Consider the following 27,797-nt stretch of genomic DNA (forward strand, 5'->3'; position numbering starts at 1 on the left):
ACTGGCTGGCCAGTAGGGGTGGTGTCCCCAACCGCCCAGCAGTCAGCCCCAGGATCCCACCCCTCACTGTTTCCTGCCCCCAACACGGCCATCGGAGCCCTCCCTGAACTTTGCCCCCAGCACCAAGGGCAGATATATGGGGGCTTATATACCCTCAGTGCAACCTGGCCCCAAAGATCCCCCTGGGCTCCCCACAAGTAAGGTGCTCAGCCATGTCCATCAAGGTCGGGGAGGGGAAGTCTTAAGTCCAAAAGACCCTTAGAGCCTGACTGGAAGATCTATGGGAGGGGCCTTAAAGGTCGTGGACAGCAGCAACCAGGAGTATGATGGGGCTTTCACGTGGCCTCCCTCTCGGAGACCCACCTCAGATGTGGCCTGCCTATCCTACTCCCCACAGGACTGAGGGATCCAAGAGAACCAAGTGCTGGTTATATATGCAGCCCACCTTAGCCCCTACAGAATAGAGGTCCTAGATGGCAAAGTGGACCATCCTGTTCCTGCCCAGGACAGCCTGTGGGCCGCATGGATGCCACCCAAGAACAGGGACGCTGAACCCTGACACTCACATCTTGTCTATGAGGGCAAGGCACGCACTGATCCAGGTGCTCACAGCTTCGTGGTTTAGGCCCCATGGCCTACAGTCCTTTATTAGAGCGAGAGTCCCGAGGCCCAGCCCCCATATATGATGGGTCCACTTGAGTCTCCTTAGGCGCCCCATGAGGGAGTAACAGCTTGGGTAGAGAGCTAGGGACCTTGCCCAGCCTGACCCTGGGGCAGGCAAGCGGCCCCCCAGCCCCCACCACCACCCCAGGAGAGGGCGGGGTGAGAACCGGAGTCAAATCTTGGGCCGGGTCCAAGCGCCTGAGCGCCCGGTTTACGCAGGAAATAGTCCAGTTCTCAGAAGTGGTCTAACCAGCCCCAGCCCCAGCCCGGCACCACCTGGAGGGTTCAAGTACATGGAGGAGAGGAGTAAGGCGGACTTAGGCCCTGGTATGGAGAAAGGGTGAAGGGAGAGAGAGGACCTGCGCTCAGGAGGGAGCGTGGTCTAGTGGCGGGAACCACGGGTCCCGCAGCGGGCGTGGCCGACTGTGCGGGAGGCCCCGGATCCACCGTGGGCGAGGCCAGGCCCCAGCGCCATCAGGGCGCAGGGTGCGCCGCCAGGTGGCGCTCCAGCAGCGCGCGGTGCGAGAAGACCTTGCCGCAGGCGGGGCAGGGCGCGCGCTCGGGCCGGTGAGTGCGCATGTGCACGTTGAGCGAGCTCTTCTGCGTGAAGCGCTTGGCGCAGACGGCGCACTGGAAGGCGCGCACGCCGGTGTGCGTGACCATGTGTTTGAGCAGGTAGTCGCGTAGAGAGAAGGATCGCCAGCACACGGCGCACTGGTGCGGCTTCTCCCCTGCGGAAGACAGGGCGGGCCGCGAACGCAAGTCAGACTCTACAGCTCCCCGCCCCCACCCCACCCCACCCCCACCTGGGCTCCTGGACCTAGCAGGGGCTCCCCTCCCCTCCCGAACCACCACCCCGGGATCCCTTGCCTATCAGAGAACCCTCCCCTCACTATGGGATCTTCCTGCCCAGCAGGGACACCCCCTCCTCTCCAGGACCTCCCTTCACGTTGGGACTTTCCTGCCCAACAGGGATCCTCATACACTGTGAGGTACCCCTCTCCCATCCCTTCCTGGCAGGGACCCCCTTTCTGTTATCCTGGGATATCACTGTGACAGGGCACCCCTAAATCCAGCAAGCACCCTGTCTGCAAGGAACCCAGCCTGTCTGGAACATCTGTTGGCCATCTGGACTGCCCACTGGGATCTCCCTCTACCCTCAGGTACCCTCCCCCTCAACCCCTACCCACCCGGCACAGGGAGACACTGGGTCCTGGCCCCCCTCGCCTATGCCCATAGAGTCCCCTAAACTCAGTCTGACAAGGCCAGTGCCCTTTCATAAGGAGGGACCTGGGCACATCTGCCACCTTCCTGCAGGAAGCCCCAGTTGCCCAGAACCCCTGCCCGCTGGCCACTATAATGTCCTTGGTGTGATAGAGAGAGCTCCTCATTCTGGGTTAGGGGAGGGGAGGCAGTCTGAGTCCACCCCTAGATTCATCAGATGTTAACAAAATGCCTGTCTCAGCCAGGCGTGGTGGCTCACACCTGTAATCCCAGCACTTTGGGAGGCCAAGGCAGGCAGATCGCTTGAGGCCAGGAGTTCGAGACCAACGTGGTGAAACCCCATCTCTACTAAAAATACAAAAAATAGCCGGGTGTGGTGGTGCACGCCTGTAATCCCAGCTACTTGGGAGACTGAGGCACAAGAATCACTTGAACCCAGGAGGCAGAGGTTGCAGTGAGCCGAGATCACACCACTGCACTCCAGCCTGGGCAACAGAGGGAGACTCGGTCTCAAAAAAAATTAAAAAAAAAAAAACCCTATCTCAGTGGCAGTGGACTGAAAGGCAGTGCCTGCCAGAGGGTACCCCAGAATAACCTGGCCCAGGCACCTGGCTCAGATCACACACTTCACACAGCCAGCACTACCCTGGGGCCTCTGGCAGTTCCCTGGAGACTAATCACCCAACTCCCTTATTCCCAGGCCCCTGGCTTCTCCCAGGGCAGCCAGAGGTGATTTTAAACTGACATCTCAGTCACTCCCCAGCTTAGAACACCATGGCTTCCCCACCACTCACAGTCAAATCCCAAGTTCCAGCCCCTGCAGAAACCCCCTCACTATCACTGTGGCCTTCCAGCCAAATTTTTGCTTTTTCTGACAATGCTCAGCAGGCTTCTGCTTTCCATTCCTTTGTCCTCCATCTCAGAGCCCCCAGGGAGCATCCTCACCACATTCCCCAGTACCACCCTCCCACTCTTTACCTCTCCTGCAGCACTGCAGAGCCGCCTCCCTGACACGGCCAAGGTCCGAGGGAACCTCCCCACAGCTTTTCGGGGTCCTCTGCAGCTGTGGAGTCCCCACACTACCTATGTTTTCCTACTCATGCCCCAGTCTCAGGAGTTCCTGGGGCCTTCATCCCACCACCTCTGAGGGCTTTCTACCCCTGGGCCTGTAAACCCATCCTCCCTTGCTGCCAGCCTATAACGGGACAGCTGGAAACCAGAGAGACACAGGAGGCTCCCTGGAGCATAGTTTCCCAACCTGCCAGGACCTCCTGCCAAGGCTCCATACCCATCATGTGCATCCCAGGCTGCTCAAGTTTCCACCACCACCCTTCCAAAGGCCAGGACAGGCTCCTGCTTCCCTACCCAGCCTCAGGATCCCCCTCCACAGAAGCCAGTGCCTGCTGCTCCACAGAGTGGGGCTTTCCCCTCCCCCACATACCTTGCACTTGGGGGAAGGCTCAATTTCTAGGCCCCCTGCTAACCAAAAGTAACAGAACAGTGCCAGTGCCCTGTAACTAGTGCTCAATTCCCCCTCAGGTTTAACTCTCCGATGAGAGATTGCTCCCTCTCCTCCCCCGCCCTGGCTCACCCGAGTGGATGAACATGTGCTTGGTGTAGTTTTTCCGGGAGCTGAACGTCTTGCGACAGTGGCTGCACTCATACGTAGGTGGCTCAGCACCTGGGGTGCGAGCAGGGGTGCCTGAGGGGGCCGTGGTGGGAGCAGCAGAGGGAGCCGGGACCTCCCCCAGCTGAGTACTGGGGGCTGCCTCGGGCTGGAGTGTGGGGTAGAAGGCGGGTGGGGGCGCAGGGGCTGGCCCCGATGGTGCTGAAGGGGGTGGTGCGGGTGGCCCAGGGGCACCCAAGTGAAAGGGGAAGAGTGCAACGGGCGGCCCTGGGGTCTTCACACCAGGCGGGCGGGATCCAGACAGTATGCAGTCGGGCTGGACAGGGGTCTCAGTGGGACAGCCTTCGGGGACAGCGCCATCCTCGTCGTGCCAAGTGGATACATAGCTGTCTGGAAATACGTCCTCAGCTGACCCAGCTCCCCGAAGAAAATCTCTCCCGGCACCACTGTAGTCAGCGAGGCCAGTGGGTGCAGGGGGCTCCTCGCACGCGCTGTCAGCAGCAGCAGTGAGGAAGCCAGCAGCACAGTCTGGGAAGGAAGGAGGTGCCTGGCCCTCGCCTGGGCCGCCACCTTCGCCATCCTCGCCATCGGTCTCATCGTCACTTTCCTCGTCATCCTCGTCACCTCGGTCATCAGGGGCCGCGGACAGTGAGGGGTCAGCATCAGGCCCCTCAGCCTTGGCAGGTGTTGGGGGCGCTGGCAGCTGCAAACGCGCGGGCTGGCGCTGCTTACGGCTGTGTGCAGCACCGGGGTGCCCCGGGGGACGTGCAGCCAGCAGGTGGCGCAGGCGGTGACGCAGCTGCGCAGGTGCGAGTGGCGGGGGCACAGGGGTGGGCAGGGGCGTGGGCGCAGAGGTGCCCGGGGCTCGAGCGCGGGCGATAATCTGCGTGCATTCGTCGATAACTGTCTGTATGCGAAGCACTGACGCGGCCGTGAGCACCTGCAGGGCTTCACCCTGCGCCACAACGAGCGAACCGCTGTACAGGAACTCTACCAGCTGTCGCACTGTCTGCGCGGGCACCACCGGAGGCACACGGATCTCAGAGTGGCCGAGCAGCAGCTTGTCTTGGAAGAAGGGTGAGCCGGCCGCCAGCACGCAGCGGTGGGCACGCAGCGAAGCTTCACGAATGCGCACAGTCACGTCACAGAAGTGTCCCCCAAGCCTCTGCCCATTGAGGGTCTCAAGCAGAGAGCGTGAGAAGTTCTGCAGGTGTATGTGATGCACAGCCTCTGCAGCCGCCATCTGCACAGAACAAGAGGAGGGCAGGGAGAGGTCAACTGAGGACCCCCATCTGTCCCAACGTCCCTGTCCCCTCACCCCTTGTTGCAGGACAGGGCTCGAGTGCACCACACTCCAAGGCGCGCTAACCCATCCCTCCCCAGCTGCCCTTCACAGTCCCCATTCCCAACACAGGACACTCCAGCACTCCCTCCTCCCCCTACCTCAGACCTGGCCAGGCCGTCTACAGCCCCCCATTAACGCTGCAAACCCTAGCACACCCCTAGGAGAGGGTGTTGGCCTCAATCACTGCTCCCGAAAAGGTTCAGGCCTTGGCCTACTCTATGTTGACTCACCCACCCACCCCACCCCAACTCCAATAACCCTAAGCCTCCCCATGTGCCCCTCCAAGAGGGCAGCCCGGTGTGTAGAAGAGGCCAGGGACCCCCATCCCAACTGGCTAACCTGCCTCACCCCGAGTAGACCTTGCTCTCTACCCAGCTAGCTTCCACTCCTCCTCCACCCCTGCTGACAGCTCCTTTTGGTTTCCTTTAGCCACATCCCCCCAGTATGAGACCCTGTGCATAGGCAGGATTGCTGCCTCAGAACCAGGTCACCTTAACTAGTATATACAGAGGCTCTCGCAGGAGTGGGGTGGCATGACCTGCTTCCTGGGCAGGGTGGTTCTGGGTGTGCCTAGTCACTAAGGGCTGAGGGTAAAAGGTTGGGCAGTACCTTGGGAGATGCCCCAGGGAAACCAGTACATGCTCCCTGGCAGCCCCTAGCATAGCGAGCAGGGAGGTGGCTCCTGCAGCCCCAGCTTCTTGCCATCTCGATGGGGCCTGTGGGGCCCAGGGTGTGGGTGTGGCACAGAGAGGGGAAGTGTGGATTGAGCAGGGGTGTGTGACTGGATAGCTGCCCATGGAGTAATCGGGGACACGGCCCAACATCAGGCACCAGAAAGGGGAGGGGGTAGTCCTCAGAGGACTCTGGAATCTGAGGAGTTCTGCTACTCCATCCATCAAGCAGGTAAACCGTGATCCTTCGGCCTGTTTCCCCTTCTATCAAACAAGGGATGAGATACTCGGCTCATCCCGCACCCAGACTGCACACACCTCCAGTCTAAGGGAGGAGGGTAGGAGCTCTGGACTCTGACATCCGTATAGGCTCCACCAGCCTGTCTCTCCCTTGGAGTCACAAAGCCCCAGGGTGGGCTCGGCTTGATGCTGCCCCTACACCCTCGGGCTCTACTGGGGTCTCAAGATTCAACCCCTCCGACTCCTTATGCCCAATCCGCCGTCCCTTTGCTCAGCCAGACGCCTCCCTTTTTTGCATGCCCCACATTTGACCCTCAGACCACTTCGAGCACCTCCACTGCCCCGTTCCCGCTGTCCTGGACGGATGAAGAAACCTGGCTGGTGTCTCTGCGCCCCTCGCCTCCCCTTCTGTTCCCCACACGGCAGCCAGAGGGAGCTTTTCCAGACTACGGATCCGGATACACCACCCCGCTCCCTGGCCCTGTTCTGAGCCTTCTGTGCAATGCCTCAAAAAAGCCAGGCCTGTGCCCGCGCAAAGGCTAACTCAGCAAGCAGCACCGCCCCATCTGTATTCACCTAGCACCTGAAAGGATTCTAATCTGTCCGGCCGATGGGGACGGAAACTTGCGCATCAACCCGAGAGACTTGAACCTTCCTTTCCCGCCCCGCCCCGCGACGGGCTCCATTCCTCAGTCCCGACGCCGCAAGGCCGGCCTGGACACTTCAGAACAAAGGCCTGCACTCGAGACCCGGCGCCCAGGCCAGCTTCCCGGGTCCGGCGCCGCACACTCCCGCCACGCCTTCGCCGCGCCGTGTGCTTTACTCCGAGCGCGTTCTCCCATACTCTGCTCCATTGCCCGCGCCCCACCCTACGCCCAAAGCACCCCTCTGACCCGCCGCTGCCACCCCGCACTCTGGCCCCCGCCGTACCCCGGTCCTGCAGCGCCCCCTCGCGTTCTCAGCGTGCGCTTCTAGCGGAGCGCAGGTGCCCCTCCCCTGGCACGCCCCAGCCTCCTCGCCCGCCCTGCGGCAGGGGGATGCCCATTCGACCCCACCTCCGACTCCTCTTCAGGCACCAGGCTCTGCCGTGGCCGCTTCCTCCTGACCGACTACAAGGCCGCACTTCCGGGCCGTTACCCCGGCGGAACGGAGGCCTGCGGTCGCGGCGGCGCAGGGGAAACCCTAGGCCGAAGCACGTTTCCGGTATTTTTATGGCGATCAGCTCCCGCCAGTCTGCACTCCGGCTCTCCTCTTAGTCGGAACCAAAGTCGAAGAGGCTAGGGCTGCCGCGTCGCGAGGAATGTCTGGACCAGAGCACTCTTCCGGCGTCGCCCAGGAGATCAGGGGTGTGGCGGGCCTGCGCGATCAATCCGCAAGCTCCCTGTGATGCAGAATGGGAAGGCAGTTCCCGGCCCAAGTGCCCAACGTGTTCTGGCCAGTTTAAACCCCACTGCGAACCGGGGAAGTGGCCTTATTCCTGTGACACGGGTGAGAGCTGAAGTAGGTCTCGGTCCCTGGCCGCCAGGAGGTGCAAGCAAGCTACCACTACTGCAGACGCTCCAGGCCCGCCCGCTGTGGGTGGGACTGGGGAAAGGACCCCATCTCGGCCTTGGCACCTTCTACTACAACGCAGACAGGAATAGACAACTGCCTCACCCTGCTCTGGGCCTCCCCTGAGCTAGACCCTGTGAGATTCTGGGACATTGCAAGTCAATCTGGTATGGGGGACAGAATTCCGAAAATGGCCCCCTCCGAGATTTCCGTGCCCAAATCCCCAGAACCTGTAAATATGATTATCTCACCTATGAATAGTTACACTACATGGTGAAAGGGTTTTTGCGGAAATAATTAAGGTTACTCATTAGCTGATCTTAAAATAGGATATGATTCTGGATTATTTTGGTAGGTCCAAGGTATCATAAGGGTCCTTAAAGGCAGAAGAGGAAGGTGGAGAAACTTGAAGTAGGAGAAGGGTTCCAGAGGCTTTGAAGGTAGAGAGGTCCATGAGAGGAAATGCAACAGGACAGGTGTCATGCTGAGAATCTGAGAAGAGCTGCAACAACAGCCAGCAAGAAAACAGACCTCATGGCCCGGCGCAGTGGCTCATGCCTGTAATCCCAGCACTTTGGGAGGCCAAGGCGGGTGGATCACGTCAGGAGATCGAGACCATCCTGACTAACACAGTGAAACCCCATCTCTACTAAAAATACAGAAAATTAGCTGGGCGTGGTGGCAGGCGCCTGTAGTCCCAGCTACTCGGGAGACTGAGGCAGGAGACTGGCATGAACCCGGGAGGCGGAGCTTGAAGTGAGCTGAGATCGCGCCACTGCACTCCAGCCTGGGCGACAGAACGAGACTCCGTCTCAAAAAAAAAAAAAAAAAAAAAAAAAAAAAAAGGCCGGGCGCGGTGGCTCACGCCTGTAATCCCAGCACTGTGGGAGGCCGAGGCGGGCGGATCATGAGGTCAGGAGATCGAGACCATCCTGGCTAACACGGTGAAACCCCGTCTCTACTAAAAATACAAAAAAAAATTAGCCGAGCGCGGTGGCAGGCGCCTGTAGTCCCAGCTACTCAGGAGGCTGAGGCAGGAGAATGGCGTGAACCCGGGAGGCGGAGCTTGCAGTGAGCCAAGATAGCGCCACTGCAGTCGGGCCTGGGCGAAAGAGCGACACTCAGTCTCAAAAAAAAAAAAAAAAAAGAAAGAAAGAAAAGAAAACAGACCTTAGCCCTAGAAGTGCGTGGAGCTAGATTCCGCCCACAACCTGAATGAGCTTGGAAGCAAATTCTTCCCCAGAGCCTCCAGATAGCAGCTTAGTCCATACCACACCTTGATTTTAGCCTTTATGAGACCCACAGAAGACCTACTTGGGCTTCTGACCTATGGAATGGTGAGCTAATAAATGGATATTGTTTTAACCTATGGAGTTTTGGTAATTTGTTATAGTAACGATAGAAAACAAATACATCTGGTGAGATCCAGGGCCTCCACACAGTGAGAGTCCAATAAATGCCACTATTTGTTTCCCATCTGATGAACGCATTCCTCACATTTCCCTCACTGAAAGCTTTATTTCTGTGCCTTCCCAGCTTTTACCAGGCCCCTTCGTGATCTCATTCCTCAGGGAGCAGTTCTCACTTCCCCTATCCCAGAGGACAGAGGGACTCGGCAGTGAAAGAGGGAACCAACTGTCCAAACGCATGACTAGAACAAAGCCTCCAGAAGACAGACAGGGTCAGGATGCCTGTCCTTCACCCAGGACAGCTACTGGGTGATTGTGTTGTAGATGTGGTATTTGGAGGTCAGGGGGAGGAAAATATGTACCAGGTGGGAAACCTCATTAAAACACAAGTCTAGGCTGGGCACAGTGGCTCACACCTGTAATCCCAGCACTTTGGGAGGCCGAGGCGGGTGGATCACCTGATGTCAGGAGTTTGAGACCAGCCTGGACAACATGGTGAAACCCCGTCTCTACTTTTTTTTTTTTTTTTTCTGAGACAAAGTCTCGCTCTTGTCCCCCAGGCTGGAGCGCAATGGCGCGATCTTGGCTCACTGCAACCTCCGCCTCACAGGTTCAAGCGATTCTCCTGCCTCAGCCTCCTGAGTAGCTGAGATTACAGGCACCTACCACCATGCCCCACTAATTTTTGTATTTTTAGTAGAGACGGTGTTTCACCATGTTCACCAGGCTGGTCTCAAACTCCTGACCTCAGGTGATCTGCCTGCCTCGGCCTCCTAAAGTGCTGGGATTACAGGCATGAGCCACTGTGCCCGGCCTGTCCCTACTAAAAATACAAAACATTAGCTGGGCGTGGTGGCGGGTGCCCATAATCCCAGCTACTTGGGAGGCGGAGGCAGGAGAATCGCTTGAACCCGGGAGGCAGAGGTTATAGTGAGCTGAGATCGTACCATTGCACTCCAGCCTGGGCAACAAGAGTGAAAATCCGTCTCAGAACAAAAAAACAACAAAAAACACACAAGTCTAATAACCTGCCATCATCGTCTTTGTTCAGACTCAAACCATGGCCTGCTGGACCCACTGGGTCTGCTTTCACTGGGCTGAGTTTTGGGAAGAGCATAAGGGTAGGTGGGAAAGGCATGCATGAGGCCTCTGAGGAGGGAGGACGGCCCTCCCTTGGGCAAGACAAATGAGTGAACCTTGGGCTGAGTGGCAGGATTGCAGTGTGTTGAGGGGGGGAAGCCATGTCCCATTAGCCCCATTAGCATGTTTAAGGGGCTGTAGGGAAGACAGTGCACCTAGTGGGGTGGCAAACGCAGGAGTCCTAGCAGGAAACAATAGCTGCCCTGACAGCAGTGAAGGGTAGAAAGGGACAGATTCAGGGTAGGAAGGAGAGGACACGGGTGGCTTTAGAGAAAGTCTCAGCTCCAAGGGATGGGGCCTGGAGGATTAGGGCAAGATAGGGGTGGAAGACCCTGCCCAAGGGCTAGGATGAACACAGGAAGGAGAAAAACCAAACCCTGACCTCTCTCAAGCAGCCAAGGGAGGTGAGAGCTGCAGCCTCAAGGGTTATTTTCCTTTTCTCTCTAAAGATCTTTTCACAAGGCTGGGCGTGGTGGCGTCTGTGGTGGCGTCTGTAATCTCATAATTTCAGCACCTTGGGAGGCTTAGGCAGGTGGATCACCTGAGGTCAGGAGTTCGAGACCACCCTGGCCAACATGGTGAAACCCGGTCTCTACTAAAAATACAAAAATTGGCCGAGCACGGTGGCTCATGCCTGTAATCCCAGCACTTTGAGAGGCTGAGACAGGTGGATCACCTGAGGTCAGGAGTTCGAGACCAGCCTGGCCAATATGGTGAAAACCCCATCTCTAGCTGGGCATGGTGGCGGGCACCTGTAATCCCAACTTCTCTGGAGGCTGAGGCAGGAGAATAGCTTGAACCTGGGAGGCAGAGGTTGCAGTGAGCCAGAGATCAGCTGTCATTGCACTCCAGCCTGGGAGACAAGAGCAAGACTCCATCTTTTTTGTTTGTTTGTTTGTTTTGAGATGGAGTCTCACTCTGTCGCCCAGGCTGGAGTGCAGTGGCGCAATCCTGGCTCACTGCAAGCTCCGCCTCCTGGGTTCACGTCATTCTCCTGCCTCAGCCTCCCGAGTAGCTGGGACTACAGGCGCCCGCCACCAGGCCCCGCTAATTTTTTTGTATTTTCAGTAGAGACGGGGTTTCACCGTGTTAGCCAGGATATGGACTCCATCTTTAAAAATATATATATATAGAAAAATTAGCTGGGCGTGGTAGCAGGGGCCTGTAGTCCCAGCTACTTGGGAGGCTGAAGCAGAAGAATCCCTTGAACCCAGGAGGTGGAGGTTGCAGTGAGCCAAGATCACGCCACTGCACTCCAGCCTGGGAGACTCTGTCTCAAAAAAAAAAAAAAAAAAAAGGGCTTGGGACGGTGGCTTATGCCTGTCATCTCAGGACTTTGGGAGGCTGAGGTGGGCAGATCACCTGAGATCAGGAGTTCCAGCCTAGCCAACATGGCAAAACCCCGTCTCCACTAAAAGTACAAAAATTAGCCAGGCGTGGTGGTGGTGGGCCCCTATAATCCCAGCTACTCGGGAGGCTGAGGCAGGAGAATACCTTGAACCCGGGAGGCGGTTGTTGCAGTGAGCCGAGATCGCGCCACTGCACTTCAGCCTGGGCGACAAGAGCAAGACTCCGTCTCAAAATAATAATAATAATAATAAAAAGAATGTGTATATATATGTGTGTGTGTGTGTGTGTGTGTTCATATATGTGTGTGTGTGTGTGTGTGTGTGTGTGTGTGTGTGTGTATGAACCCAAAGACCTTAACCCTGGTTGTGGGGGCATTTCAAGGAATAAATGTGTACCTGAGAACACAGGTTTGACAAGCTAGGGAGGAGGGCGATGTGGCCTGCAAATATTAAAAACTCCAGGCTAGGCCGGGTGCAGTGGCTCACACCTGTAATCCCAGCACTTTGGGAGGCCGAGGCGGGCGGATCACGAGGTCAGGAGATCGAGACCATCCTGGCTAACACGGTGAAACCCCATCTCTACTAAAAATACAAAAAATTAGCTGGGCGTGGTGGCAGGCGCCTGTAGTCCCAGCTACTCAGGAGGCTGAGGCAGGAGAATGGCGTGAACCTGGGAGGTGGAGCTTGCAGTGAGCCGAGATTGCGCCACTGCACTCCAGCCTGGGCGACAGAGTGAGACTCCGTCTCAAAAAAAAAAAACAAAAAAACAATTCCAGGCTAAGCCCAAGGCCTGAGATGGGAAATGGTGGCCATTGAGGGAAGAGTCTGTGAGAGCACAGTGACCACAGATGTGAAAGGAGCAGAAGAAATTGAGCTCCAGGGTGACTGGGCCTCCTCAGCTGGCTAAGGCAGGGCCCCTCTGACAGCATGGGTCAGAGAACAGACAGCTCCCACCAAGGAGTCTTCCAGAACCTCTCGGCTGTGCCTGATTCCATCTCAGTCAGGATCCCAACCTCCCTCCACCCTCCATCACTTCCCGGCCAGCCTTTCATCCAGGCTCCCCCTCTTTGGCAGTCATACTCAAGTCCTTGTGTCCACAAACCCGGCCCCATCCTAGTGGGTTTGGGTTGTGCCAGGTGTGGAATACAGGTCCCATGATCCATGCACAATGGTTGTGGGGGCATTTCAAGTACTAAATGAGTACACACAGGAGCAGGCACTAAGCATATACCTGCAGAAATGCTTCCTGGTTTAAGGCAGATAGCAGCGGAGGCTGAGGGGTGGTCCCTGGCAAGGCAAATAGCAGCAGTGAAGACTTGAGCCCTTCTGATGGGACAGAGAAGACATGGGAGCCGTGTGAGGTGTGAAGGGGCAATGGCAGGATCCCCTGTATACTCCAGAAAGTCCTCTGAGGCTGCAGCTTAGAGAGAGGCTGGAGGGAGGCCCAGCCCCAGGCCCTGGTGGAGCCAGGGAGGTGGTAGAAGCAATGGCTGGGACCAGGCAAGTTGCCGTTGGGATTTACCAGAAAAGTAACAGCATCCATACAGGTATTGAGGGCTGTTAACAAAGGCAGGTGGGGGCAAGGAAAATTTACAACCGAGAAAAGATTTAATGTGCTTTCATATGTAAAATACAAAGAAGAAGGTACTACCAGCCCTGTGGACAGAGGCCTGAGAACTCCGGAAGAAGGAGACCTAAATTGAGACAATACTGAAAACAACACAACTGCCACAGGCGCTTTGCCAGAGTCCCAGCACCTTGACCTGTACTGTGCCCTTGGATTAATTCTGAAGAGTTTAAAAAACCCAAAGGCTGGGCGCGGTGGCTCACGCCTGTAATCCCAGCACTTTGGGAGGCCGAGGCAGGCAGATCACCTGAGGTCAAGAGTTCCAGACCAGCCTGACCAACTTAATGAAACCCCCTCTCTACTAAAAATACAGAAATTAGCTGGGCATGGTGGCACATGCCTATAATCCCAGCTATTTGGCAGATCACCTGAGGTCAAGAGTTCCAGACCAGCCTGACCTCCCAAAGTGCTGGGGTTATAAGCATGAGCCATGGTGCCTGGACTTTATTATTATTATTATTATTGAGATGCAGTTTGGCTCTTGTTGTCCAGGCTGGAGTGCAATGGCACAATCACAGCTCACTGCAACCTCCACCTCCCGGGTTCAAGTGATTCTCCTGCTTCAGCCTCCTGAGTAGCTGGGATTACAGGCGCCTGCCACCATGTCCAGTTAATTTTTGTATTTTTAGTGGAGACGGGGTTTCACCATGTTGGCCAGGCTAATCCCAAACTCCTGACCTCAGGTGATCCACCTGCCTCAGCCTCCCAAAATGCTGGGATTACAGGCGTGAGCCACCACGCCTGGCTGTTATTATTATTATTATTTTTTTTTTTTTTTTTTTTTTTTGAGATGGAGTCTCGCTCTGTCGCCCAGGCTGGAGTGCAGTGGCGGGATCTCGGCTCACTGCAAGCTCCGCCTCCCGGGTTCACGCCATTCTCCTGCCTCAGCCTCCCAAGTAGCTGGGACTACAGGCGCCCGCCACTACGCCCGGCTAATTTTTTGTATTTTTAGTAGAGACGGGGTTTCACCGTTTTAGCCGGGATGGTCTCGATCTCCTGACCTCGTGATCCGCCCGCCTCGGCCTCCCAAAGTGCTGGGATTACAGGCGTGAGCCACCGCGCCCGGCCTATTATTATTTTTTTGAGACAGGGTTTCACTCTGTCGCCCAGCCTGGAGTGCAGCAGCATGATCACGGCTCACTGCAGCCTCATCCTCCCAGGCTCAAGGGATCCTTCCACCTCAGTCTCCCGAGAAGCTGGGACTACAGTTGTGGCCCACCACACCTGGCCACAAAATGTGTTTTGAGTAAAGCTCTAAGGTGAAGGGGAAAGCCCCAACCCCCTATTGTGGGACACCTGGCTGGTTCCATCCCGAAAAGACACAGTGAAGCTCTAGCTGCATCCCAGAAGATAATACATCCACTGAAGCCAGGTTAAAATCATTCTCCCTTTAATCAATTTTCCTCTATTGCACCCACTGCTCCTCGATGCCCTGGAGCGAGGAATTCCACCACCCACAGTAGGTGTAAGCTTGGCAGCTCCAGTTTTATGGCCCCAGGGGACAGTCTTTCACACCTCCAGACACGAACTCTGCCATATAATTTCCCATGTGCACAATTCAGTGATTTTTAGTCAGTTTATTGTGTTGTGTAACCTTCACCACTGTCCTGTTTTAGAACATCTCCATCACCTCCATGAGATTGCTCAGCCCATTTCCTGAGCGTCCCCACCCCTGTCCCCATGAATCTGTCCATGGATGTGTCTGCTTGACATTTCCTATCAGTGGAATCACACAACATGAAGTCTTGGTCCCTGCCCTCTCCAGTCCTGTCACTTTGTCTCAGGCTCCTGTGCCACCCGGGTGTTGTGAATTGTCTCTGGTCAGATGGTTCAGTGTTTTCCACTCAGGAGTGGCTAGTCTGAGAAGTGCTTCCCTACTAAGGTGGGCAACTGAGGCAGAACAGCCACCCAGCCTTGTTCTCCCAGCCGTCTTCCTGCTGGACCCATGGTGGCCAAGGCCTCAGTCCAGGAGGAATCAACCTAGACTTGCCACACCCTGACTTTGTCCCCTCCCTCTTTACAAGGGCTGCTCTCCACCCTGCCTGCTTTGTGTTTAAGATATTGGGCCATGGCTCACCCCTGTAATCCCAGCATTTTGGGAGGCCGAGGTAGGTGGATCACCTGAGGTCAGGAGTTTGAGACCAGGCTGGCCAACATTGGCAAAACCCTGTCTCTACTAAAATACAAAAATTATCTGGGCGTGGCAGTACGTGCCTGTAATCTCAGCTACTCGGAGGCTGAGACAGGAGAATCCCTTGTGAAAGATTCTCCCTGGGGCCTGAAAGCTTCGGGGGATAAATAACTCCTCCCTTCTCAGGCCCAGTCCCAAGATGCAAGGCCATTTGTGCCAGCAACGTGCATCAGCAAGATAGCAGAAGCAGGAAGAGAGCTGGCCGGAAGACACATACCCCTGAAGATGGAGGGAGAGAGGCCCTGGGTACCACATAGCAGTAACATCAGACTAGGACACTTCCTGTTTACAGGAGACTATAAAACTCCTGCCCTGTCCTTACTTGGGACACCCAGGCGCTCATTAAAATAGCATGTTGCTCCACACCGCCTCGTGTTGTTTGTTGGTGCGCTCTCGGGGTTCAAACCGATACTAGAGCCTTGCAGCTTGAACCCAGGAGGCAGAGGTTGCAGTGAGCTGAGATCGCGCCACTGCACTCCAGCCTGGACGACAGAGCAAGACTAGTTCTCAAAAAAAAAAAAAAAGTCCAGGTGCGGTGGCTCACGCCTATAATCCCAGCACTTTGGGAGGCTGAGGTGGGCGGATCACCTGAGATCAGGAGTTCAAGACCAGCCTGACCAACAGGGAGAAACCCCATCTCTACTAAAAATACAAAATTAGGCTGGGCGCAGTGGCTCACGCCTGTAATCCCAGCACTTTGGGAGGCCGAGGTGGGCGGATCACGAGGTCAGGAGATCGAGACCATCCTGGCTAATATGGTGAAACACTGTCTCTACTAAAATTACAAAAAATTAGCCAGGTGTGGTGGCATGCGCCTGTAGTGCCAGCTACTCAGGAGGCTGAGGCAGGAGAATCACCTGAACTCGAGAGGCGGAGGTTGCAGTGAGCTGAGATCGCGCCACTGCACTCCAGCCTGGATGACAGAGCGAGACTCTGTCTCAAAAAATAATAATAATAATTAAAACATTTTAAAAAGAAAAATTAGCCAGGTGTGGTGGCGCATGCCTGTAATGCCAGCTACTTGGGAGGCTGAGGCAGGAGAATTGCTTGAACCCGGGAGGCAGAGGTTGCAGTGAGCTGAGATCACGCCATTGCACTCCAGCCTGGGCAATGAGAGCAAAACTCCATCTCAAAAAAAAAAAAAAAAAGACATTGATGAGCTCATCTTTTAACCTCATAAAGCATCTTTTGAAAACAAGGATGGGGTCGGATGTGGTGGCTCACATCTGTAAGCCCAGCACTTTGGGAGGCCAAGGCAGGGGGATCGCTTGATCCCAGGAATATGAGAGCAGCCTGAGCAACATGGCAAACCCTGTATCAAAAAAATACAAAAAAAGTTTAGCCAGGCATGATGGCGTGTACCCGTAGTCCCAGCTATGCTGGAGGCTGAGATGGCAGCCCGAGGAGGTTGAGGCTGCAGTGAAGCAGGATCGTACCACCGCACTCAGAGCAAGACCCTATCTCAATAAATACACAGATAACCGTTTTAAAGTGAACAACACAGTGCCTTCTAGTATAGTCACAATGGTGTACAACCACCTCCTCCATCTAGGTCTAAAACAATTTCCTCACTACAAAATAAAAACTTTTCTCCCCTCTCCTCAGTCCCTGGAAACCATTAACCTAACCTTCTGTCTAAACAAATGTGCTGATTCTGGATTTTTTTAAATTATACTTTAAGTTCTGTGATACATGTGCAGAACGTGCAGTTTTGTCACATAGGTATACACATGCCATGGTGGTTTGCTGCACCCATCAACCCGTCATCTACATTAGGTATTTGTCCTAATGCTATCCCTCCCCTAGACCCCCACCCCAGATTCTGCATATTTTACATAAATGGAACCATACAATATGTGAGTTTTGTATCTGACTTCTTTCACTTAGCATAAGGTTTTCAAGGTTCAACCGTGTTGTAGCACATATTAGTACTTCCTTTTTATGGCTGAATGAGACCCCATTATGGCTGGGTGTGGTGGCTCATGATGCCTGTAAGACCAGCACTTTGGGAAGCCAAGGCAGGTGGATCACTTGAGCACAGGAGTTTGAGACCAGCCTGGGCAACGTTACAAAACCCTGTCTCTACAAAAAATACAAAAATTAGCCAAGCATGATGGTGCATGCCTGCAGTCCCAGCTACTTGGGTAGGCTGAGGCAGGAGGATCACTTGAGCCTGGGAGGTCGAGGCTGCAGTGAGCCATGATGGCACCACTACACTCCAGTCTGATGACAGAGACCTTGCCATGAGAGCGCATGCACACACACACACACACACACACACACCTCAGTTGTATGGATACACCACATTTATTTATCCATTAATTAATTACCTAATGGACATTTGGGTTGTTTCTACTTTTAGTGTTTTTTTTTGAGACGGAATTTTGCTCGTTGCTCAGGCTGGAGTGCAATGGCATGATCTCGGCTCACCACAACCTCCGCCTCCAGAGTTCAAGCGATTCTCCTGCCTCGCCTCCCAAGTAGCTGGGATTACAGGCACGTGCCAACACGCCTGGCTAACTTTGTATTTTTAGTAGAGATGGGGTTTCTCCATGTTGGCCAGGCTGGTCTCAAACTCCCGACCTCAGGTGATCTGCCCGCCTCGGCCTCCCAAAGTGTGGGGACTACAGGCGTGAGCCACCGTGCCTGGCCCTACTTTTAGTTATTATGAATAGTGCTGCTGTGAACGTTCTTGCACAAGGATTTGTTTGAACATCTGTTTTCTTTCTTTTTTTTTTTTCTTTTTTTGAGACAGAGTCTCGCTCTGTCGCGCAGGCTGGAGTGCAGTGGCGCGATCTTGGATCACTGCAAGCTCCGCCTCCCGGGTTCACGCCATTCTCCTGCCTCAGCCTCCCAAGTAGCTGGGACTACAGGCGCCCGCCACCACGCCTGGCTAATTTTTTGTATTTTTAGTAGAGATGGGATTTCACTGTGTTAGCCAGGATGGTCTCGATCTCCCGACCTCATGATCCACCTGCCTTGGCTTCCCAAAATGCTAGGATTACAGGAGTGAGCCACCGCTCCTGGCCTGAACACCTGTTTTCAATTCATGTGGGTATATACCTTGGAGGTGAATTGCTGGATCGTGTTTAACTGTTTGAGGAACTGCCAGGCTGTTTCCCATGGTGGCTACACCATTTTGCATTCCCACAGCAAAGTATGAAGGTTCTAATTTCTCCACATCCTCACTCTCACTTGTCATTTTCAGTTATTTTTATAGCCATCCTAGTGGGCGTGAAGCAGTATTTCATTGCGGTTTGATTTGCATTTCCCTGATGAACACTGATGTGGAGCATTTATTGGCCATTTGTATATGTTCTTTGAACCTCGTCTCCTTCTCCTTTTTAAATAGTTGTATTGATGTCTAATCTATAAGCCATAAAATACATACAGCATTTATAGGGTGGGATCGTGTCATCAACCCTAACGTGGGGCACTGACAGCCTGACTGTCCCCTGTACACTTACGGGTTCCCCCTACACAGCCATGTTGACACCACACCCTCCATGTACCTCATAACATAAGCAGATAATCCTGGGCAGTGCAGGGATTTCATTATGGGTTGGCAAATTAGGCTTTTTCAAATTCTAGCATCTAATTATCAGTGGGCATTCTTTGGTAAGCAAGCAAGAACTGGGGCCATGTGTTCCCCTGAAATACGGTTCCCCTTGGGAAGGCAGGATTGATGCCAAGTTCTCAGAGTGAGGGGCTGGCTTAAAATCAGCATCATATGGTGACAGATGGGTTTATTTTTCTGGATCTCTTTTTTTGAGAACACTTAAGGACTCATGGGTAGTGTGGATTTATTGTGCATCAGCCGATGACGGTCACTGTTCTTTCTGATGCTCCAGCTGTTTGATCAGGTTTGGCATCTATGTCCTTTTAACATATTTCCACCATTCTTTGGGCACCTCTTACTTTGTAATACAACAAGGTGTTTCAGGCTCAGCTAGGACTTTCCCTGTATAGTCTGTCCCTGTACAGTCCTTGAATCAGCCATTTTCCCCAGGAGCCCTGGTTCCTATTAGCAGGGAAAGGGATGAGACTCTGGGCTCTGAGTGTCTCCTGTCCTCCCCCCTCCTTCCTTTCCCTGGAAGCTACAGGATGCTTTGGGAAGGCAGCAAACAGAAGGGGCGAGGGCACCCACCAAGTCCAGGAGTGGGTTGAATTTGTACAGGTCACAATGTGGAGCTCTGAACAGTCCCTTCTACTCTCTGGGAATGTTTTCCCATCTGTGAAATTGGGACTGAAGTAACTGAAAATGGCCCCCAATGATATATACATCCTAACTCTGAAACCTGGAAGTGTTACCTTATTAGGAAAAGGGGTATTTGTAATTGTGATTTAGGTTCTTGAAATGGGGAGATTACCTGGAATTATTTGGTGCGCCCTACATGCAAATTAACATGAATCGTAAGAGAGAGGCAGAGGAGAAAATAACGTAAGGCTACATGGCACAAACAACAGAAGATTTTTTCTCACAGTTTTGGAAGGGAAAGTTTAAAATCAAGGTGCAGGCAAAGTAGGTTTCATTCTGAGGACTCTCCTCTTGCTGTGTTGGGGGAAGCTGGGGTGGAGCTCTTCCACATATTTGTCTTTTCTTTTTTTTTGAGATGGAGTTTCGCGCTTATCGCCAAGGCTGGAGTGCAGTGTCACAATCTCAGCTCACTGCAACCTCTGCCTGCCGGGTTCAAGCAATTCTCCTGCCTCAGCCTCCCGAGTAGTTGGGATTACAGGTGTGTGCCACCATGCCCAGCTCATTGTTTGTGTTTTTACTAGAGACAAGGTTTCACTATGTTGGGCAGTCTGGTCTCAGACTCCTGACTCAGGTGATCCGCCCACCTCGGCCTCCCAAAGTGTTGGGATTACAGGCGTGAGCCACCACCCCGGCCATGTTTTTGAGAAAAAGTCTCGCTCTGTCACCCAGGCTGGAGTGCAGTGGCGTGAACTGGACTCATTGCAACCTCTGCCTCCCGGGTTCAAGTGATTCTCCTGCCCCAGCCTCCCGGTAGCTGGGATTACAGGCATGTGCCACCATGCCTGGCTAATTTTGTATTTTTTTAGTAGAGATGGGGTTTCTCCATGTTGATTAGGCTGGTCTCAAACTCCCGACCTCAGGTGATCCACCCGCCTTGGCCTCCCAAAGTGCTGGGATTACAGGCGTGAGCCACCACGTCCGGCCTAATTTTTATATTTTTAGTAGAGACAGGGTTTCACCATGTTGGCCAGGCTGGTCTTGAACTCCTGATCTCAGGCAAGCCTCCCGCCTTAGCCTCCCAAAGGCATTTTTTCTTATGGGGCATTAGTCCCATTATGGGGCCCCACTATCAGGACATCATCTAACCCTAATTATTTCCCATAGGCCCCATTTCCAAATATCATCACAATGAAGATTAGGGCTTCAACATACGAATTTTAGAGGACACAATTCAGTCCACAGCAACGATGCATAGAAGACAAGGCAATATGAAGTGAGAACAGAGGTATTTGAAGCTGTCAGCCTTCAAGACTGGAGTGATGCAGTGACAAGCCGAGGCCACCAGAAACTGGAAGAAGCAAGGAAGGATCCTCTCCTGGCCTTCAGAACTTTGACAGAATAAAGTTTTTTTTTTTTAAGCTGCCATGTTTGTGGTAATATGCTACAAAATCCACAGGAAACTAACAGGAATCATAGTGATTCCAAAGAGCAGTTGAGAAGATCTAGTTGAACACTCATCTTTTGTTCTCCATTCTGCTCCCACCCATTCCCCAACTGGAACCTTTGAAATGGGAATCAGATCATGCCACCTTCTGCTAAAATCTTCTGTTAGCTCCTCATTACAGTTAAAGAAACACCCAGCCAAAAGCCACATACGGTATTGCCCACTGTAGCAGCTGTGTTAATAACAGCCTGAGCAGGAGGGAGAATGCAGTCAAGAGAACATGTAAGCAAACTGAAGGACATTCATACAATTGACCCTACACAACAAGGGCCGGGGAGGAACTAAGGTCATATATGGCCATACAAATGTGCACTGAGAAGCCAGACAGAGAAGTAAAGCCCCATGTGTTTTATGGGTAGGCAAAGCTTGTCTGTGAAGTTAGGGCGTCAGCTACAAGGGACATGGGCTTCTGAGAGCCAGAGATGTTCTGTTCTTTGCTATCACAGCTGGTTAGCTGAGGTGCTCCCTGCTTGCATCTCTACATATCATAAGCCTCCACCAAAAAGTTAAAAAGTCCATAGAGACAGAAAGTAGATTAGTGATTGTCAGGGGCTGGTTGGAGGGGGACTGTGGAGTGAGTGTTAATGGTTACAGGGATTCCTTTTGGAGTAATGAAAATGACTTGGAAATAGATAGAGGTGGTGGCTGCACAACATTGTGAATGCATGAAATGCCACTGAATGTACACTTTTAAACTGGCTAAAATGATAAATTTGATATTATGTGAATATTATTATTATTATTATTATTATTTTTTGAGACAGAATCTCTATCTCCAGGCTGGAGTGCAGTGGCATGATCTCAGCTCACTGCAACCTCTGATTCCTTGGTTCAAGCAATTCTCCTGCCTCAGCCTCCCAAGTAGCTGGGAATATAGGCACGTGCCACCACGCCCAGCTAATTTTTTTTTTTTTTTTTTGAGGCGGAGTCTCACTCTGTTGCTCAGGCTGGAGTGCAGTGGCGCAATCTCGGCTCACTGCAAGCTCCACCTCCCAGGTTCACGCCATTCTCCTGCCTCAGCCTCCCGAGTACCTGGGACTACAGGTGCCCGCCACCACGCCTGGCTAATTTTTTGTATTTTTAGTAGAGACAGGGTTTCACCATGTTAGCCAGGATGGTCTCAATCTCCTGACCTTGTGATCCGCCCACCTCGGCCTGCCAAAGTGTTGGGATTACAGGCGTGAGCCACCGTGCCCGACCTAATTCTTTTTTTTTTCAAGTTGGAGTCTCGCTCTGTCGCCCAGGCTGGAGTGCAATGGCATGATTTTTGGCTCACTACAACCTCCGCCTCCTGGGTTCAAGCAATTCTCATGCCTCAGCCTCCCAAGAAGCTGGAATTACAGGCACCCGCTACCACACCCAGCTAATTTTTGTATTTTTAGTAGAGAAGGGGTTTCATCATATTGGTCAGGCTGGTCTCTTGGCCAGGCTGGTCTCGAACTCCTGACCTCATGATCCGCCCGCCTTGGCCTCCCAAAGTGTTGGGATTACAGGTGTGAGCCACCGTGCCCAGCCTTAATTTTTGTATTTTTAGTACAGACAGGGTTTCACCATGTTGGCCAGGATGGTCTTGATGTCCTGATCCCGTGATCCGCCTGCTTCAGCCTCCCAAAGTGCTGTGATTACAGGCATGAGCCACTGCACCCGGCCTGTTTGATTTTTTTGAATTAAAAAATGTACTTTAATAATAGACACGGGGCCAGGCACAGTGGCTCACACTGGTAATCCCAGCACTTTGGGAGGCTGAGGCAGGTGGATCACCTGAGATCAGGAGTTTGAGACCAGCCTGGCCAACATGGTGAAACCTCGTCTCTACTAAAAATACAAAAATTATCTGGGCATGGTGGTTAGTGCCTGTAATCCCAGCTACTCAGGAGGATCAGGCAGGAGAATCACTTTAACCTAGGAGGCAGAGGTTGCAGTGAGCAGAGATCGCACCTGGGCTCAAGCTATCCTCCTGCCTTGGCCTCTCAAAGTGCTAGGATTATAGGCAAGAGCCACCAGGCCTGGCCATACATTGTAACTCAATTACCAAAAACAAACAAACAAAATTTTTAAAGTAATAGATACCAAATCTCATGTTATGGTCTACAAAACTGGCTCAAGATGGTCATCATCTTCATCCATTTGCTTGTCCTTTCACATATTTGCTGATGACTGATCCACCAAGAAGTGGGCTCTGGGCTAAGCACAGTGGATGCAGTAGTGAGTACAATTTGGAGCTCATGTCCTTGTGATTTTCTCTAGCTGAAATGGGGAAGAAGAGAGCCAAGAAGAGAGCCCAGAGAATAACATTCTGAGTAGAGGCAATAGCAAGTACAAAGGCCCTGAGTTGAGGACAACAGGTCTCCTATGTGGCTGGAAGAGTGATAAGGTCAGAAGTCAGAGGTCAGCAGGGCCATACCCTAGAGTTGTCACCAGAATTGGATTTTTTTTTTTGAGATGGAGTTTTGCTTTTGTTGCCCAGGCTGGAGTGCAGTGCCTGGCCAACATGGTAAAACCCCCTCTCTACTAAGAATACAAAAATTGGCTGGGTATGACGGTGCACGCCTGTAATCCCAGCACTTTGGGAGGCCGAGATGGGTGGATCATGAGGTCAGGAGATTGAGACCATCCTGGCTAACACGGTGAAACCCCGTCTCCACTAAAAATACAAAAAAATTAGCCGGGCATGGTGGTGGGCACCTGTAGTCCTAGCTACTCAGGAGGCTGAGGCAGGAGAATGGCGTGAACCCGGGAGGCGGAGTTTGCAGTGAGCCAAGATCGCGCCACTGCACTCCAGCCTGGGCGACAGAGGGAGACGCCGTCTCAAAAAAAAAAAAAAAAAGAATACAAAAATTATCCGGGCGTGGTAGTGGGCACCTGTAATTCCAGCTACTCAGGAGGCTAAGGCAGGAGAATCGCTTGAACTCAGGAGGCAGAGGTTGTAGTGAGCCAAGATTGCGCCACTGCACTCCAGCCTGGGTGACAGAACGAGACTCCATCTCAAAAAAAAGAAAAAAGAAGAAAAAAGAAATTTGAGTGATGTAGCCACAATGCCTCCTCAGAAAGTGGCTTTGGGGGTGACACCTGAGGGTGGGAAGGAGAGCATGCACACGTGTGGGGTTTGGGGAAGAGAGGGTGAGGATGGCTATCTTCAGGTAGGCGCACAACCAGGCAGTAGGCAGTCCTCAGGTGGCCTGGGTGCAGTCTGAGTGACCACTGCATATTGCTACACCTGTCTTATGCCCTGTCTGCAAAGCCAAAATATTGACAGTTCACAGTGGTCCAGGACTGGGAAGGGAGAGACGTGGTAAAGTGTTGGCAAGGAGCATGGAGGACAGAAGTATAAGGGATACTGACTGCTCTGCCGGGCCACCTGGGGAGCGGAGCCAACCAAGGTGCACTAGCGTCCTGCCATATACTTATGGACCTCTGAGTGAGGTCCCTAGTCTTACTCTCCTATATACCCACCCTGGCTTGGCCAATCCTAGGAAGCCCCACTCTGCTGTCCCTGAGTCAGCTTGAGCCTGTTTTCTAGTTAATCTCCCTTCCCCGACTGGTGTCCTGGCACTTGCTGAAGCCTCAGGTTCTCCATGTGGACAATGGGGCCCCACAGTGGTGTGGAACCTGGTGGGGAGGTGATGCTCCAAGGTCTGCTGCTGGCATTGGGTAACACCTGCTGCTTGTGTGGCTGCCTCATACTGGGGATGAAGGTCTTGGGCCCAGGAGAAGGAAAAGGGGTGCTCTTACAATACCTCTCTATTGTGCAGAGAGAAGAGCATGGACCTTGATGGGCCACTGAAACCCCAAGGTGTGTTGCCAGGGCCTGGGGAGGGCCTGTTATGAGGGGCAGCCGATGATAGGGTGGCAGGGGATCTAACATACCCCAGACCCTGCTAGCTGTAGAGTAACCTCTCTGAGCACCTCCCACCACTCCTCACTATTGCCTCCCTATTGCCTCAGGGACCTTGGACTTGTTTCTGCTCAACTGCCTTCCTGCAAGTGTTTGGGGCAGCCCCTAGGAGAGCCATTTCCACACTTTGTACCATAGTATTAATATTTTGACCTTCTGGCCCTGGTACCCTTGTCTACCCTAGAGGCCAGAGGCAGGTGTGGGTCCTGTGTGACCCACACGTCCCCCTCTCCCGTGATTTTGGGGACCAGTGCAGGATAGGGCTGTGGAAAGTGCTCATCAAATATTCCTTTTTTTTTTTTTTGAGACAGAGTTTCACTCTTGTTGCCCAGGCTGGAGTGCAATGGCCGGATCTCAGCTCACTGCAACTTCTGCCTCCCAGGTTCAAGCGATTCTCCTGTCCCAGCCTCCGGAGTAGCTGGGATTACAGGCCCGTGCCACCACGCCCGGCTAATTTTTGTATTTTTAGCCGAGACGGGGTTTCATCATATTGGTCAGGCTGGTGGCGAACTCCCGACCTCAGGTGATCCGCCCACCTCGGCCTCCCAAAGTGCTGGGATTACAGACGTGAGCCACCGTTCCTGGCCACAGCAAATATTCCTAAAGGACGCCCACACCTCGCCCTGTGCACTGCCAGCACCAACTTTTTTTTTTTCTTTTCTTTTCTTTTCTTTTTTTTTTAAAGACAGGGCCTCGCTCTGCAGTCCCAGGTAGGAGAGCAGGGGAGCGATCATAGCTCACTGCAGCCAACTCCTGGGCTCAAGCGATCTCAACGCGTCAGCCTCTGGCATTAACTTTCCCTATTATCAGAGGAAGGAAGCCAGGGGCCAGGGCGTCTTCAGGGTGGTGGGCTGGAGGGGGCGGGCCGGCTAGCGAGGCGTGGCCCTATGAAGGGGCAGGCTGGGCGTGGAGGCGGTGACTATGCCGCGGATGGGGTGGGCCCAGATCTGGGGGGCCGCGCGCCCGGGCTGGAACAAAGGCAGAGGCGGGGACAAAGCCCCGCGGCCCCCAGTCCCCATCAGGAACAAAGGCCACACCCGGCCCAGCGGTCGACGCGCCCGTGCTGCAGCCACGTGCGGACACCTGGGAGCGGGGCCCGGGGAGGCAGTGCCCCGTTACCCTCACGCCCCGCCCGGCTAGCCACCTTTACCTGTGCGCGCCTTGGGAGTGGCGAATGGGTTTCATGGTTGTTCGCGCCAGTCCTCGCGGCCTCCAAACATCCTCCGGAAGCTGCCACCTACCCCGCCCCCAGCCGTTGTCACCTGGACCGGAGACCTCACGACCCCAGGGGCACCGCACAGGGGGCTGAGGCCCACCCCCCCGGGGCCAGCCTCAATGCACCCACCCACCACGTTTTCAACGCGCTGATAGTCCCTAGGCGGGTTCGCCTCTACCTACAGACCCTGCTTCTCCCCTTAGACATGATTCCTCTCCCCCAGATCCTGCGTCCCTCAGACAGAGTTCTTCTCTCACACACCCTGCTTCCCTCCTCAGACGGGATTCTCCCCCCACACACCCTGCTTCCCTCCTCAGACAGGATTCTCCCCACACACACCCTGCTTCCCTCCTCAGACAGGATTCTTCTCACACACACCCTGCTTCCCTCCTCAGACAGGATTCTCCCCACACACACCCTGCTTCCCTCCTCAGACAGGATTCTCCCCACACAGAACCTGCTTCCCTCCTCAGACAGGATTCTCCCCACACACACCCTGCTTCCCTCCTCAGACAGGATTCTCCCCACACAGAACCTGCTTCCCTCCTCAGACAGGATTCTCCCCACACACACCCTGCTTCCCTCCTCAGACATGATTCTTCTCACACACACCCTGCTTCCCTCAGACAGGATTCTCCCCACACACACTCTGCTTCCCTCCTCAGACAGGATTCTCCCCACACAGAACCTGCTTCCCTCCTCAGACAGGATTCTCCCCACAAACACCCTGCTTCCCTCCTCAGACAGGATTCTCCCCACAGAGACCCTGCTTCCCTCCTCAGACAGGATGCTCCCCACACACACCCTGCTTCCCTCCTCAGACAGGATTCTTCTCACACACACCCTGCTTCCCTCCTCAGACAGGATTCTCCCCACACACACCCTGCTTCCCTCCTCAGACAGGATTCTCCCCACACACACCCCACTTCCCTCAGACAGGATTCTCCCCACACAGACCCTGCTTCCCTCCTCAGACAGGATTTTCCCCACACAGACCCTGCTTCCCTCCTCAGACAGGATTCTCCCCACACAGACCCTGCTTCCCTCCTCAGACAGGGCTCCCCTCCCCACACACCCTGCTTCCCTCCTCAGACAGAGTTCCCCTCCCCACACAGACCCTCTTTCCCTCAGACAGGATTTTCCCCACACAAACCCTACTTTCCTCCTCAGACAGGATTCTCCCCACACAGACTCTGCTTCCCTGAGACAGGATTCTCCCCACACACACCCTGCTTCCCTCCTCAGACAGGATTCTCCCCACACACACCCTGCTTCCCTCCTCAGACAGGATTCTCACCCCACACACCCTGCTTCCCTCCTCAGACAGGATTCTCCCCACACACACCCTGCTTCCTTCCTCAGACAGGATTCTCCCCCCACACACCCTGCTTCCCTCCTCAGACAGGATTCTCCCCCCACACACCCTGCTTCCCTCCTCAGACAGGATTCTTCTCACACACACCCTGCTTCCCTCCTCATACAGGATTCTCCCCACACACACCCTGCTTCCCTCCTCAGACAGGATTCTCCCCACACAGACCCTGCTTCCCTCCTCAGACAGGATTCTCCCCCCACACCCTGCTTCCCTCCTCAGACAGGATTCTCCCCCCACACACCCTGCTTCCCTCCTCAGACAGGATTCTCCCCACACACACCCTGCTTCCCTCCTCAGACAGGGCTCCCCCCACACACCCTGCTTCCCTCCTCAGACAGGATTCTCCCCACACAGACCCTACTTCCCTCCTCAGACAGGATGCTCCCCCCACACACCCTGCTTCCCTCCTCAGACAGGATTCTCCCCCCACACACCCTGCTTCCCACCTCAGACAGGATTCTCCCCCCACACACCCTGCTTCCCTCCTCATACAGGATTCTCCCCACACACACCCTGCTTCCCTCCTCAGACAGGATTCTCCCCCCACACATCCTGCTTCCCTCCTCAGACAG

At 54.1% G+C, this 27,797-nt stretch overlaps 1 protein-coding gene across 6 annotated transcripts, besides 10 other annotated features; it reads right to left on the reverse strand.

Moving 5' to 3' along the window:
* On the reverse strand, positions 614-25,995 carry ZBTB45 (zinc finger and BTB domain containing 45). Of its 6 annotated transcripts, none has more exons than NM_001316982.2 (3): positions 25,785-25,995; positions 3,479-4,757; positions 614-1,394 (listed from the first exon to the last, which is right to left on the reverse strand). In NM_001316982.2, the coding sequence occupies exons 2-3, from the start codon at positions 4,755-4,757 to the stop codon at positions 1,138-1,140; spliced, it is 1,536 nt and encodes a 511-aa protein (NP_001303911.1). In that variant the 5' UTR covers positions 25,785-25,995; the 3' UTR covers positions 614-1,137. The 6 variants fall into 6 exon arrangements, with proteins under 6 accessions (NP_001303911.1, NP_001303908.1, NP_001303910.1 ...); NM_001316979.2 differs by lacking the exon at positions 25,785-25,995 and adding an exon at positions 6,826-6,894; NM_001316981.2 differs by lacking the exon at positions 25,785-25,995 and adding an exon at positions 6,701-6,894.
* Positions 1,078-1,127: a silencer, noted in NCBI's record as "silent region_11086". NCBI's record gives its function as "represses an Ori minimal core promoter by ATAC-STARR-seq in GM12878 lymphoblastoid cells {active_cell/tissue: GM12878}" and the evidence as "EXISTENCE:reporter gene assay evidence [ECO:0000049][PMID:35858748]".
* Positions 1,148-1,347: a silencer, noted in NCBI's record as "silent region_11087". NCBI's record gives its function as "represses an Ori minimal core promoter by ATAC-STARR-seq in GM12878 lymphoblastoid cells {active_cell/tissue: GM12878}" and the evidence as "EXISTENCE:reporter gene assay evidence [ECO:0000049][PMID:35858748]".
* Positions 1,458-1,507: a silencer, noted in NCBI's record as "silent region_11088". NCBI's record gives its function as "represses an Ori minimal core promoter by ATAC-STARR-seq in GM12878 lymphoblastoid cells {active_cell/tissue: GM12878}" and the evidence as "EXISTENCE:reporter gene assay evidence [ECO:0000049][PMID:35858748]".
* Positions 5,141-5,801: an enhancer, noted in NCBI's record as "H3K27ac-H3K4me1 hESC enhancer chr19:59029424-59030084 (GRCh37/hg19 assembly coordinates)". NCBI's record gives its function as "activates a minimal SCP1, AML or CMV promoter by ChIP-STARR-seq in naive H9 embryonic stem cells {active_cell/tissue: H9 hESC(naive)}" and the evidence as "EXISTENCE:reporter gene assay evidence [ECO:0000049][PMID:30033119]".
* Positions 6,669-6,768: a silencer, noted in NCBI's record as "silent region_11089". NCBI's record gives its function as "represses an Ori minimal core promoter by ATAC-STARR-seq in GM12878 lymphoblastoid cells {active_cell/tissue: GM12878}" and the evidence as "EXISTENCE:reporter gene assay evidence [ECO:0000049][PMID:35858748]".
* Positions 6,859-7,178: an enhancer, noted in NCBI's record as "active region_15207". NCBI's record gives its function as "activates an Ori minimal core promoter by ATAC-STARR-seq in GM12878 lymphoblastoid cells {active_cell/tissue: GM12878}" and the evidence as "EXISTENCE:reporter gene assay evidence [ECO:0000049][PMID:35858748]".
* Positions 25,479-25,788: a silencer, noted in NCBI's record as "silent region_11090". NCBI's record gives its function as "represses an Ori minimal core promoter by ATAC-STARR-seq in GM12878 lymphoblastoid cells {active_cell/tissue: GM12878}" and the evidence as "EXISTENCE:reporter gene assay evidence [ECO:0000049][PMID:35858748]".
* Positions 25,479-26,187: a biological region, named in NCBI's record as "H3K27ac hESC enhancer GRCh37_chr19:59049840-59050470".
* Positions 25,557-26,187: an enhancer, noted in NCBI's record as "H3K27ac hESC enhancer chr19:59049840-59050470 (GRCh37/hg19 assembly coordinates)". NCBI's record gives its function as "activates a minimal SCP1, AML or CMV promoter by ChIP-STARR-seq in primed H9 embryonic stem cells {active_cell/tissue: H9 hESC(primed)}" and the evidence as "EXISTENCE:reporter gene assay evidence [ECO:0000049][PMID:30033119]".
* Positions 26,188-26,816: an enhancer, noted in NCBI's record as "H3K27ac hESC enhancer chr19:59050471-59051099 (GRCh37/hg19 assembly coordinates)". NCBI's record gives its function as "activates a minimal SCP1, AML or CMV promoter by ChIP-STARR-seq in naive H9 embryonic stem cells {active_cell/tissue: H9 hESC(naive)}" and the evidence as "EXISTENCE:reporter gene assay evidence [ECO:0000049][PMID:30033119]".

The sequence above is a fragment of the Homo sapiens genome, chromosome 19 (assembly GCF_000001405.40).
Source record: "Homo sapiens chromosome 19, GRCh38.p14 Primary Assembly".
In the NCBI taxonomy this organism is placed as follows: domain Eukaryota; kingdom Metazoa; phylum Chordata; class Mammalia; order Primates; family Hominidae; genus Homo; species Homo sapiens.